Raw genomic sequence first — 13,437 nt, 5'->3', positions numbered from 1 at the left:
TTTTTTTTTTTTTTTGTATTTCTGCTATAACCATTCTGAGCCAAGGGCAGAGGGTTCGTTGGTACCTGAATTGAGGGGTGGCTGGCAGTGGCCAAGGGTAGGAACAAAAGGAAGAAAGAAATATTAACACCAGTTAAGAAATCAACAAATTATCAGGATACACTGTACTTGGTTGCTCCTGTGTTACTGGACTTGAAATATGATCTGGGGAATGATATGAAATTGGCCTAAAACATAAGAGTCGCCCATTCTAAGTTATGCTCTCAGTCAGCCCTGAGATGAAAGATGGGAAAAATTCAATAGAGGCATCAAAAGGGAATTTATTGCTTCCATGGAGATTTTAGATAAAGGTCATTGAGGAATTAGGTAGCTGAGTGGCTTACCCAGGCATCCCTTAGTAGGTAACATTTGAGAAAATAAAAAAATTCAGGAAAGGAGGTCAGGGAAAGAATTGAAAGGCATTTGTGAGCTCTGAGGGAATATAGCACCTTAAGTCCCAGAGAAGAGGTGAGAGAAGAAACATTTGGAGGAGAAAAGGGATATGATAAATCAGGCCAGAGAATAGTGCTAGGTCATTTAGCAAGTCCATTCTTCTTCTCCTGTAGATGGTGATGCACCTGCAACAGGACAGACATGAGATCGATGGGTCTGAGGGGCCTCCTGTGTGATCATCATGCCACTTCCCAATTCGCCTACAACTTTCAACCACATTCATGTCCACAACCCCCTCCCACTTTCCTCCCTCTCATACTGAGGTTTCAGCTCCAACAAATCTCAATCTTACCTTCCTTTTCAGGATGGGATTCATAAGAGCCCTTGGTGTCTGGAAGCACCAACTGAACGCAGGCCTTGGATGATGAAGACAGTGCCCACCACAATGCCCATGAGGCCCACAGACAACCCCAGGGCGCAGACCAAAGTCTCTGTGAGCTCTGACATAGGGGCTGGAATCTCAGGCTCTGTGAAAGTGGAGCTGTTGAGGTCAGAATGTGCAGTGTGCTCATGTGCATGTGTGTGGGATGGGATGGGGTGGAGGGCTGGCTCTGCAAGACTCAAGGCCCCAGGCTTAGGGAGAAGAGTGAAGTCTATTATTAGAAACCCATGAAGTGGTGGAACTCATCCTTACCCCAGTGTTTCAGAAGAGGCTCGTCCAGGCCCCAGTGCTCCACCTTGCAGTCATAAATCTCATCAGCAGAAGGGAGGAAGGTGAGGTAACTGATCTTGAAGAAGGAATGATCACTCTTGGAGAGGAAGCTGGTCTCAGAAACACCTTCTGTGACTGAGTGCCCATTGCTCAGCCAGGTGATGTTGACCACAGGAGGAAAGATGTTGTCCACAAGACAGATGAGGGTGTTGGGCTGACCCAGCGTCACAGGAAACTTGGAAAACACTGTGACCTCAGGAACCTCTGTGGTGAGGAAACAGCACTGATGTGAAGTGTGAATAGCTCTGCCATGAGCTTCTGCATTACATCCTGGAAGAGCCCTCCTACCAGCATTTCACCACCTGATAGTCAAAGAGGTCTTATTTACCTTCTGCTTGGGAGCAACGACACATTGCCTCTGCTTTATTCCTGTGCCCTTCTCTCTGTGGGCATGTTTAATAAAGTAGGAATTAATACATAATGGAAAGACCCTTGTATTACATGGGAATATGTGATTTTAGAGATGGGAGATGATAAAATTTCAGCAATTACCATGAGAAGATCTGGAAATCTCTTGAGAAGAAGGGAGTAAAACTTGGTATGAAAGATTAGTTTCAGTAAAGAGAGGCGGAATGGTGGACACGTACCATTGGTGGCAGCGGTAGAGTTGGACTGTCTCATCATGAATTCCAAGGTGTGTTTTCCCACAGCCATATTTCTCAGTGCACTCTGCGGGTCAAAACTTATAAATTTGCTAAACATAGGCAACTGCCAGACAGTCTCTTTCGTCTCCAGGTCCACATAGAACTCCTCGTCTCCATCAAATTCATGGGTGTACTGGCCAGAGGGACCGTGAGACTGGTAGAAGTTCACACCATAGGAGGCAACATGGTCAGCTGACGAGTGAAGGTGACAAGCAGGAGGGTGGAACACAGGGAGAAAGAACCTTAATACAGAAAGTGATTGAAGAAACTCACTTTCAAATATTATGGGCTTCATCTTTGGCACAGTCCCTGAACAATCTTCCTAACACCTGCTTCCTCCTTGCCTAACGTTGGTAGTCATCAGGTTAGAACTGATTCTGTCTTTCTCACTATAACATATGCTCCACAAAGGCAGAACGTCACACGTCTGTTATTTCCTGAGTGCCTACTTAGTGCCTGGCGCATCATAAGCTTATGATGAATATTGCAATAAACAAAGGAAGGAATGAATGAGTTATCATAGGATTTAGTTTTCTTACTCAGAGATTCAGTTTATTTCCCTCTGCTTCCTAAGTTTTCTCTCTCAGTTAATAACAAGTTGATTATACTTCGTTTCCTGTCAGGACTAGATCAGAACAGGACACTTTCTACACAGAGTTTCCTTTTTTTTTTTTTTTAAACCAAAGAAAAGCATGTAGGAACGTATTAACTTAAAATAATTTCTTCTAACAATTATAGGGTACAAGAAAGACTATTACAAGAATAGCAACATTATACATTTATAACAAATAAACAATTCTTCTAAGGTCTCTGTTTTGTTAATAGTAGTGGTCCTTAGAGGAGAGCACCTGATTTCTTCTGAAATGAAAAGTGGAAGCTCAACTGGTTTTTTAATTTCTGTCATTGCCCCCACTTTTTTTTTTCCTCTGAAGGAGGTTACTAAATATCTATAGTGTTCTGATTCAACAATTACATTCACTCGAGGACTCAGGTAAATTAAACCCTTTTTCCTCTAATGGGCAGCGAGCTTATCCGAGGATGCCAGGGCAGAGCAGCAGCCATGAAGTATAGCCAAATGAGCCGAACTGGACATTTTTGTTAAGACATGTGTGAGCCCTTTACCATTTTATCTTTCCTTCCTTCCTTCCTCATTTACTGAGCATCCAAAAGTGTCAGACAGAGCAGGGGTTGCTTAAAACAGCATCAAGGAATGAACTGAATAGTGGGAGAATCAGGTCGGTAAGGGAGCAAATACAATGTACTTTGGGGAATTCTGTGAGGAGGATATCGACAGCCTTACAGTCCGACATTCTTCACAACTATCTGCCAATCAAACCAAACTACATTTCCTTTCATGTCTTTGCAAGGGTCTGTTTTTTCTCCCTGAAAGAAGTTATCTTTTAGGATTTCCTGGAGAAATCCTAAAATTCATCCTTGAGGTTTCTACTTAGTTAACAACTTTGCAGCTAAGTCCTCTCAACATGTTTTTGACCGCGTTGTGACCTCCAACGCCTCAATGGAATCTCAATGTCTGGCTCTCCAAGTTTGTCTTTTCCTCCTCCAGCTCACCTTCTTCCCTACCCAGCATGACTGCCCTGGTTGGTTACTTAACAGGCCACCAACAAAGACTCCTTATCCTTACAATAAACTTTGACTCCTTGTTCAAACATGAATATATGTGGAATACATGCAATCCTTCTTTTCATCTGGTACTTGTCCTGGGTGCTAAGTGTTGCTGGAGGACATCACTCTACTGGCCCAGCTGGAACCAAGTCATTTTTATAGTTTCAGCCTCTGCTGGGCCAGTGTCCTGCTCAGCAGGGCCTTCTGCTTTCCTGTGCCCCATACTGTTTCCATCACTGGTTTGTGCACCCTCTGCAAGGCAGACAGCATGATTTTTTATCTTTGAATTCCCAAAAGTTAGCTCATTGTGTGCTCAAACATGTGTATTGAATGACAATTGCAATTTTTGACAATTACATAGATTTTGGGGAAGACTGACAGGCACCCAGGTAGCAGAACCACGCAAAGCCCAGGATCAGGGATGCCCAGGGCTGAATTCTGACTTGTGAGCCCCGAGCACTGTTGCTTTTGTGGGCGCCTTCCTCCATAAAAATACGGAAAATTACAGCTTCTGATTGTATTGGTATAAAGACAAATACAATCCAGGCTACATTAAAAGTTAAGGCCGGGCGCGGTGGATCACGCCTGTAATCCCAGCACTTTGGGAGGTTGAGACGGGCGGATCATGAGGTCAGGAGATCGAGACCATCCTGGCTAACACGGTGAAACCCCGTCTCTACTAAAAATACAAAAAATTAGCCGTGCACAGTGGCGGGCGCCTGTAGTCCCAGCTACTCGGGAGGCTGAGGCAGGAGAATGGCGTGAACCTGGGAGGCGGAGCTTGCAGTGAGCCGAGATCGTGCCACTGCACTCCAGCCTGGGCGACAGAGCGAGACTCCGTCAAAAAAAAAAAAAAAAGTTAAAACATTTTCATAGACTGTAAAACTTCATTTTTCTTCTAATTTTAAAAGGAGTTAAAACGTTCTCTTGTAGCTTTACAGTTTGGAGGGTCCCCTTCACTGCCCACACTGTTCCTAATGGATAAGTCGAGCCTGACCGGGGCACTCTGGTGTGAGGTTGAAGAAAGGAAATTTGAAACAAAAAAGCCAAGTGCTCTGGAGAAGCAGGTGAAACTTCCACTGCCAAACAAAATCAGAATGGGAGCAGCCATGGTTAATAAGGTTGTGAAAGTTTAGAGTAGCTTCCAGTTCACTTCCCCTTTTAACTATTTGACTTTCCAACTTTTGTTTTACAAACCCACTGCCCATGTCTGTAAAGGAGCAGGGAGTCAGAGATGGATCCTGAAAGGGAAGAGGGAGAAAGGGATGCATGAAGAGAGGTGGGAAGAGATGGACGACAAAGGCAGAGGGGACTAAGGGACCAAATAATTATCTGTGCCTGCCCATTTTTCTCTTTATAAGACTTCATTAGATAAGGTGAAGAACTAGTAATTTGGGTTGACAATTTGAGAATAAAATAATTTAATTTACCAAGCATTTTATCATAAAGTTCTCAGTTTTAAAATATATTCCTTACTTTGCTAAAGAAAAAATACGAAGTTATACCTGTAATAGGAATAAGTTAAAAAAAGTTGACATTCATGTTTTTACTATTCATAAAGCATATCTACATGCCCATTTTATTTGATCATAAGCGAGGTGACATATATGAGGTAGCAGAGAGTAAGTACCACATTTACCACGTGGTAAAATGATTGTTGAAGGCATTCAGCCTGCTGGGCTCTTTCACCTACTCCCCACCTGTGCCAATTCCCATGTGGAAATGTAAGTCTGAGAGAAAGAAAAGAACCTCTTTCTTTATATCTATAGAGTGTACATACTTCATGGAACTATCTACCCCAACATATGCTATAGGAGGCATATGAAAAGCTTCAAAAGTTGTTCAGAGAAATTTGGGAGTAACAGTTCAGAAATTTTTAATAACAAAAAAATACTCCATTCATGGAAACATCCCTAGTCTTTGAGGCAATCATGATGGAATGCCACACAGACCTCCAGGCTATAGTCTCTGGATATAATATAAACAGAACAACGTCCTTGGTAAACTCCAATAGCACAGGTAGCAAAGAGAGTCGGTTGGAGCTCTGGTTTCCTAAAGGAGGAACTGCCATAATTTTAAAATTTCTTAATATTGAAAAGACCCTTGGGAAATTTCTACTATTTCTTAGCAAATTACACTCTCTCTTTTCCTTTAATTTACTGTTTTTCAGCTCCAGAGAACATTCCTCACTCATGTACTCACCCACAATGTCTTCACCTCCACAGGGGCTCATCACGGCAGTCAGGGCGAGGGCCCCCAGCAGCAGAGCTTTGTTTAGGATCATCTTCTTCCCAAGGCAGCCTCAGCAGTTGCTGCTCTGAGCTGTAGAGCAATTGTGAGGACCTCGAGACAAGCAAATCTGAAGACACCCAAACCAAACCCTGCCAGGTCAGGTTTTGGCCAATCAGAAAAATCCCCTATGGTGACATATTGTTTGCCAGTTGCAGAGTTTATATTAAGAGCCCTGGAAGAAGACAGGGACATCCTCTGGTTCTGACACATCCTCCACACAGCATGGTCTTGAGGAAATTTTCTATAAATAAAGGGAAGATACTAAATCTGAATCTTCTGTCATGTGTGCATGTCTGCTAGTGTCAAGAGGGGCGGGAATTTCTGAGCAGCCGCTTGGATAGGTAAGGTCATCAATAATATGGCATCCTTCAGGGTTTTCTGGGTTACATTCTCCAGGAATTCTTCCCTGAAGTGATTTTCCTCCCTGGCAGTCCCCATTCCCTCCCCTTTCTCTGGCTTCTGTATGTGGGTTAGCTATTTTTCTTTTTGCTTCCATAGTGTATATGGTATTCCCCAAATTTTGACTTGACCCCACCTTCCTAGGGATCTCTGCTGGTGGTAGCCAAGCAATACCTTTGCCTTTTCTACTTGTATAAATCCAGTTGGGTAAGTTCTCAAAAGCTCCAGGTGTTTTTGACCAGGGCAATTAAAGGGGTTAGACTGTCATGCGGTGCTGCCTACAGTAACCGATCTTTTACACAGTTTTTTGTTTTGCTTCTAGTAATCTTTATGCTCTGTGTTTCGGAGCTGCTTGAATATATTTAAAGGAAATTTAGGGACATTGATTACATTAAAAAAGCTTTGGCTGGCTCAATTACTCTAATAATTTATTTTATTTTATTTTATTTATTTATTTATTTTAAGACGGAGTCTCACTCTTTGGCCCAGGCCGGACTGCAGTGGTGCTATCTCGGCTCACTGCAAGCTCTGCCTCCTGGGTTCACGCCATTCTCCTGCCCCAGCCTCCCGAGTAGCTGGGACTACAGGCGCCCGCCACCGCGCCCAGCTAATTTTTTGTATTTTTAGTAGAGATGGGGTTTCACCGTGTGAGCCAGGATGGTCTCGATCTCCTGACCTCGTGATCTGCCTGCCTCAGCCTCCCAAAGTCCTGAGATTACAGATGTGAGCCACCGCGCCCGGCCAGTAATTTTTTTTTTTTAATTTAAGAATGTCAAGTCAAATATTGAGAGTAGAATAAGGAGAATTGCTTTAACTTAGAAAATAGGTTTACTTTTCTTAAACTACTGGATCTTTTCATATTTGTTATCCAACCACATTAAGATTTCAGATATTGCAAGGGACTAGGGAATGAGCTAAAATGTAGTAATCACAGGGAAACTTACCTTTTTTCAGATGAATCTATTTTCTGTATGTTATAGAAACAACAAGTTAGTAATGGAGGTTTCATTTAGAATCACTCTGTCCTTGTTGAATGGCCTTCTGAGATTCTCAGCATGTTGTCTTGCCTCCCAATGGCAGAGACTAAAAAAAGGTAAAATAAAAAGTGTCCTGATACCTGGGGGCTGCCTGGATGCAATTAACAAGGCCTTGGGGTTGCTAGGAGCTAGCCTGGTGTGCACAGCTGGTTTTGATTCTCCTGTTGAAGATAATCAATTTCATAGAACATCAGAATCAGACAGGTACTCTGTGAGTGCGATGGATTGAGACAGAAAATAAGGCCACTCAGTCATCACGTCTGCACCCAGACAAAACATGAATATTGTCCAAACTACAAAAATAACCAGGCACATCTCTCGAAAGAGTGATTGCTGCTTCTTTACCAATCACAGCCGTAGCCTCAGGATAGTCTTCCGTCCCTCTAGGTAGTATTTATGAAGCTACCCAATCATAGCATTGCCATCCCCACTCCCTGCTTTCTGTCAGAATCCAGTTAAAAATGAAGTCCCTCTTTCTTAACTCCTCCTCAAAATTACCTAACACAAGCACAAATCTTACAATTGATTAATGGTCAATTTTATGTGTTGACTGGACTGTGGTCCCCAGTTATTCACACACTAATAATCTAGGTGTTGCTGTGAAGATATTTTGTAGATGTCATTAAAGTTCATAATCAGTTAACTTTAAGTAAGAATTTATCTGAGATAAATTGGGTGAGCTTAGTCTAAGCAGTTGAAAAGTCTTAAGAGCAGAGCTGAGGCTTCTCTGAGGAAACGGAAATTCCACTGTGGACAGCACGTCAGCCAGTGCTAAGAATTTCAACCTGCCTTTCCTGATGACCACCTCCCAGTGGGTCTTAGACTTGCCTAGTCCACCCCCACAGTTGCACAAATTAATTCCTTTCAGTCATTCTCTTAATATATGTGTTCTCCTAGTTCTACTTCTTTGGTTCCAACAATCTCTTACTGAACTGCTGCATGATTCCCCATGGTGACTTTTCTCCATCATTGCAATGAACAATAAAGCCAACTTGTTCATTCAAGGGTATGCTCTTCGTGGTCTTTGGCCGGAGGCACTGATGGTACCTCATTAGGCAGTTGTGAGGAATGTACATATACTGCACTTGGAATGAATTACTCTTTATAAATACTTGTCATACTTTAGTATCATCCACATTTTTCAAGGAGGACATTAAAACTCAGAGAGGTAAAGGACTTTTCCCAGGGTCACATGGCTCGTAAGTAGTAGAGATGGGATGCTACAGGGGCAAGCCATGATTCCTCATGAGGGGTGAGGGGTGTCTCCTTCTGTGTGGATTCAGAGTAAGTGCCCTAGTGCGATTAGGAGAGATATATGACACTGTACGTGGCCTTTTTACTCTTTCTAGCCACTGCCATTGTGAACTAAGAGGGTTTTTGAGGTTGCAGTTGAGCTCTGCTCCCTTCACCGTGCAGCATCCTCTTTGCTGTGTAGTAAATAATACATTTCTATCTTTTTTCCCCTGTATCCAGACTTACCTGCTTTGTATCTGACAGAAATTCCTTAAGATTTTGGCAAATGAACTAAATCTTTCCTGATAGCACTCCAGAATTTCCCCTATTAATATCACAGTTTAAAAAACTCAACTCTAATTAGGAAGTTAGGGTGTTAAATGTGGGATCAGAATTGTATCTTAGAAGGGAAGTCGTGGGTTCAGTCTCAGATCTCACATCCTGTGGGATGGAGGGAAAGTCCAAGCAAGGCCAGGTCATTGACTAAAAGATAATAGATGCTCTTTCTATCTTTAACTGGTTTTGTGTCCCTCTCCTCCTCCTGCTTCATCCAGCCAGAATACAGCGAACCTTGTTCTATTTGCTTCTGTTTTCAGGTCATAATTTTAATGCAAGATAGAATAATCAGTAAATTAGACTCAGAAGAACAGTATACCATTTTAACAGAAACCAATTTCTTACTTTTGTCTTGTAGAAATAGAAAAGGTCCTCAGTACTTTGGGAGGCTGAGGCAGGCAAATCACAAGTTCAAGAGATCGAGACCATCCTGGCCAACATGGTGAAACCCCATCTCTACAAAACAAAAAACAAAAAACAAAAAAAAATTAGCTGGGTGTAGTGGCACGCGCCTGTAGTCCCAGCTACTACTCGGGAGGCTGAGGCAGGAGAATCGCTTGAACGCGGGAGGCGGAGGTTGCAGTGAGCCAAGATCGCACCACTACACTCCACGCACTCCAGTCTGGCGACAGGGCGAGACTCCGTCTCAAAAAAAAAAAAAAAAAAAAAAAAAAGAAAAGAAAAAAGAAAAAGTCCTTTTCATAAAGTAATAGTGGGAATAAAATTTGGAGCTCAAAATACTACTTTGTCTAATAACTTTCTTAGAAAGCACTAATTGACATGCCATTAATTTCGTAACTAAAATATCAATGGGATATGCCATTACAATTGATATTATTAAGGGCCCTCTAAGAAATTAGGCAGAAATTATGTTAGTTCTAAGGAGCAGTTATAACATTCTCTAAGACCCTAACTTTAGGTCTAATTTTATGCATTGATGAAATTTTACTCTGAAGGCCAAGACTTCTATCTTGCAGTAGTTAAAGGTGCTTCACAACAATAACAGAGTCTAGAATAGCAAAATAAAAATATTATAGATTTTGTAATAAAATAAACGTATTCCATGCTGCTTTTGATTTTATCAGCTCCATCACCCTGGGCAAGCCACTCAGAATACCTGAGCCTTAGGGTTATTTTCTATAATGTGGGATGAAAACTATTAGAAGATAATTAATATGATGAAACGATAGATAAGTACAAATTATGCAGTTAAATACAGGCCAGTTTCTGGCACCTAGCAACTATTCCCAAGTGGGAGCTGCTATATAAAGACAAATATTAATAATGATAATGATAGTAACATCACACATTGGGCTGGGACAGACTATTACTTTTTCTTCATTCATTTAAGCTTCTCCCTGTGGCACTCCAGGCATATAGGAGCCTGTGAGCCACAGAAACACTAAGAGATTTCTAGGAAACAGAATTTCTTTGAAGACTGTTGTATCTGTCAGATTTTTCTATGTAACAAACTATTCCAAAACTTAATGACTTCCAACAACGATTTAGTATCTTCGTATGATTTTGTAAGACAGACATTCTAAAATGAGGCCAATAGAAAATTCCTGCAAGTGATGTTTGACAATGTCTGGAGATACTTTTGTTGTCATTACTGGGGAGGGTGCTACTGGCAGGTATTGGGTAGAGGCCAGGGGTGCTGTTACACATCCTGCAATGCACATGGCAGCCTCCTACAAGAAAATAATCACCTGAAACAAAATGCCAACAGTTCTGAGGTTGAGAAGCCTCATTTTAGACCATTTTTTAAATGTGAAAAAATGTTTCATTTCCAGCGTTTATTTCTTTGTATAGATCCAGGTTTCTATGTGATATCATATGGCTACCGTGTGAAGGTCTTCCTTTTACATTTCTTATGGTGCATAAATCCCATGGACACCAATATTCCCACGACTCAAAGATAATAATGAATGCATGACTATCTCAAGTGCATAGGCGCGGAGAGGAGGACAAATGAGAGTGGAAGCATTCCCCTGCCCCCATCTTCTCTCTTTAGTGCCCATTGTAAGCCTTTCAAGCTCCACCATCTCTCAGGTGCAAGATTGTCCTTGCCAATCTTCTTTAGTCAATGGGATACTTTTAGAGAAATACTATAGCAAGAATAATTTTTACTCAACTTGTATCATTGTAAATAATTTATAAAATATTTCTTTTGTTTGAGGTATTTTTCAAAATCCCCAAACATCACACATATCTGGATTCATTTTTCCCTAAAGTTGTCAGTTATTAAAACATTTGAATTATTCTTGTGTTATTATTTCTGTTTTTAATGTTCTGGCAAAATCACAACTTAAAATTTCTAGGTAAAATGCTTTACATATACATGATGACCTTTGGTAAATACATATGAATAATTTCATATAAACACTTGCTTTTAAAGTTTCCATTTAAAATTATTTGTCATTTTAAAATCACTAATGCTAAGTAAAAATAACTGTACAGCTGACTGTGGAGGTGTGTGCCTATACTCCCAGCAATTCAGGTGACTGAGGTAGGAAGATCACTTGAGCCAAGGAGTTTGAGGCCAGCCTGGGAAACATAGTGTTACAGGACTTTTCCTTAGTTCAGCTAATGACAGCGTCCTTGCCACACAGCCACGAGAAATTACGTTCACAGACAACTTGAAGGGTGAGTAGGACAACTTGAAGGTTGAGTATTGGGTGAAAAGGAAGAAAAGGGGAAACAGAGGCTCTTAGCAAAGTGAGAGAATGCATTTTTTTCTGCCAGTGGGCTTCCCACCTCACAGATTGAATTCCACGTTCCACCCAAAGAAGAGGGGTCAGTCTCCTCCCTGCCGCAAATGGTGCAAACTTCTGTGGCTCCATCCCAGTTTGCACTCCTCCCAGTGCTCAGGCTGGCTGGAATTTATCTGGGGACCCCTTCCCACCTGGCTGTCTCAGTAGCAAGACCCCGTCTCTAAAAATAAATAAATGAAAAGATCTATTCAAAGAATGTTCACAATATGTACATTAGGATTGGAGAGTTCCTAGGAAAAGAATCAATTGCTATTAGGCGTGAGGAATATTATCTGTTTCCCAGTAGTCAGTTCTACAACCTGATTCAGATGAATTAAGAATTTCAGTTCAACTCAACAAGTATTTATTGATTACATACTATAGTCTCTGCACAAAGTCTTTATCAAATAACCTATTCTGTTTAGCTGAAGAGCAACCTGGGGCTATGGTGAAAGCAGATCTGCACATGGGAGTAATTTTGCGTGTTTTCCCACAGAAGACTATTAGGCAGCAGTATTTTCCCCGTACTATTTTTTTGTTATTGTGTAGTTTATTTAAGAGAGTTGTTTAAAGCAACTAATTCATTGATATAGGAGTTGTTACTGACAAAGAATTGGTGGGGATGATATTAAATAACAAACAGAATTGTCTTTGCAAGGTTACCTTATAGGTAACAGAGGGTCTACAGCAAAATTAGTAGCAATATATTTTGTGTTTATGGAATATAAAAAAGTATAATATATGATAACAATTGCACAATGAATGAGAGAGAGAGAAATTTGGAGCATACTGAGCTAAGGTATATTTGAAAGTATATTATACATATATGTAAAATCCTAGGGCAAAAACTAATCCAAAAGAAGGCAGAAAAACAATTTTGAAAATGAACAAATGTTTAATAGAATTAACAAAAAATATCTAGCAAAAGTAATCCAACCATGTTGATAATTTCATAGGTATAATTGGCCTAGACACACCAATTAAGTGATAAAGAAGATCAGACAGTAAAAATGGCACAATTGAACTATAATCCATCTACAAGAAACCCATTTTAAATATAAAGTCATACTTACATTAAAAGTAAAATGAATGAAACTGTATACCATGCAAACAAAATCAAAAGAAAATTAATAAAAACTTGCCTTAACTTCATCTCCCCACTTTTTAACTTTTTGTTGTTTCTATTTATATCTTATTGTACTATGTCTTGAAAAGTTGTTGTAGTTATTATTTTTTATTGGTTCATCACGTAGTCTTACTACTTAGAATAAGAGTAGTTTACACACCACAGTTGCAGTGTTATAATATTCTGTGTTTTTTTCTTGATGTTCTCCTCCCTGTGTCCATGTGTTCTCATTGTTCAACTCCCACTTACGAGTGAGAACATGTGGTGTTTGGTTTTCTGTTCCTGTGTTAGTTTGCTGAGAATGATCGTTTCCAGCTTCATTCATTTCCCTGCAAAGGACATGAACTCATTCTCCTTTATGGCTGCATAATATTCCATGGTGTATATGTGCCACATTTTCTTAATCCAGTCTATCATTGATGGGCATTTGCGTTGGTTCCAAGTCTTTTCTATTGTGAACAGTGCTGCAATAAACATACATATGCATGTATCTTTATAGTAGAATGATTTATAATCCTTTGGGTATATAACCAAAAATGGAATTGCTGGGTCAAATGATATTTCTGGTACTATATCCTTGAAGAATCGCCACACTGTCTTCCACAATGGTTGAACTAATTTACACCCCCACCAACAGTGTACAGCGTTCCTACTTCTCCACATCCTCTCCAGCATCTGTTGTTTCCTGACTTTTTAATGATCACCATTCTGACTGGCAAGAGATTGTATATTTAAAAAACCCCATCATCTCAGCCCAAAATCTCCTTAAGCTGACAAGCAATTTCAGCAG

The 13,437-nt window shown here is 40.6% G+C and overlaps 1 protein-coding gene across 1 annotated transcript; it reads right to left on the bottom strand.

The window, feature by feature from the left end:
* On the bottom strand, positions 1-5,808 carry HLA-DQA2 (major histocompatibility complex, class II, DQ alpha 2). Its single transcript, NM_020056.5, has 5 exons — positions 5,674-5,808; positions 1,792-2,040; positions 1,127-1,408; positions 785-959; positions 1-617 (listed from the first exon to the last, which is right to left on the bottom strand). Exons 1-4 carry the CDS (start codon positions 5,753-5,755, stop codon positions 805-807), a joined length of 768 nt encoding a protein of 255 aa, NP_064440.1. The 5' UTR covers positions 5,756-5,808; the 3' UTR covers positions 1-617; positions 785-804.
* Between the last annotated feature and the right edge of the window lie 7,629 nt (positions 5,809-13,437).

This window comes from Homo sapiens, chromosome 6, assembly GCF_000001405.40.
Source record: "Homo sapiens chromosome 6, GRCh38.p14 Primary Assembly".
Taxonomy (NCBI): Eukaryota; Metazoa; Chordata; class Mammalia; order Primates; family Hominidae; genus Homo; species Homo sapiens.
This window is presented reverse-complemented; position numbering and strand designations above follow the sequence as displayed.

Coding starts and splice junctions, on each gene's coding strand:
- HLA-DQA2 (NM_020056.5), bottom strand. CDS start 5,755: ATGATCCTAAACAAAGCTCTGCTGCTGGGGGCCCTCGCCCTGACTGCC. Junction 2,041..5,673: donor TGGAGGTGAAGACATTGTGG/GTGAGTACATGA, acceptor TTCACTCGTCAG/CTGACCATGTTGCCTCCTAT. Junction 960..1,126: donor GCCTCTTCTGAAACACTGGG/GTAAGGATGAGT, acceptor CCACTTTCACAG/AGCCTGAGATTCCAGCCCCT.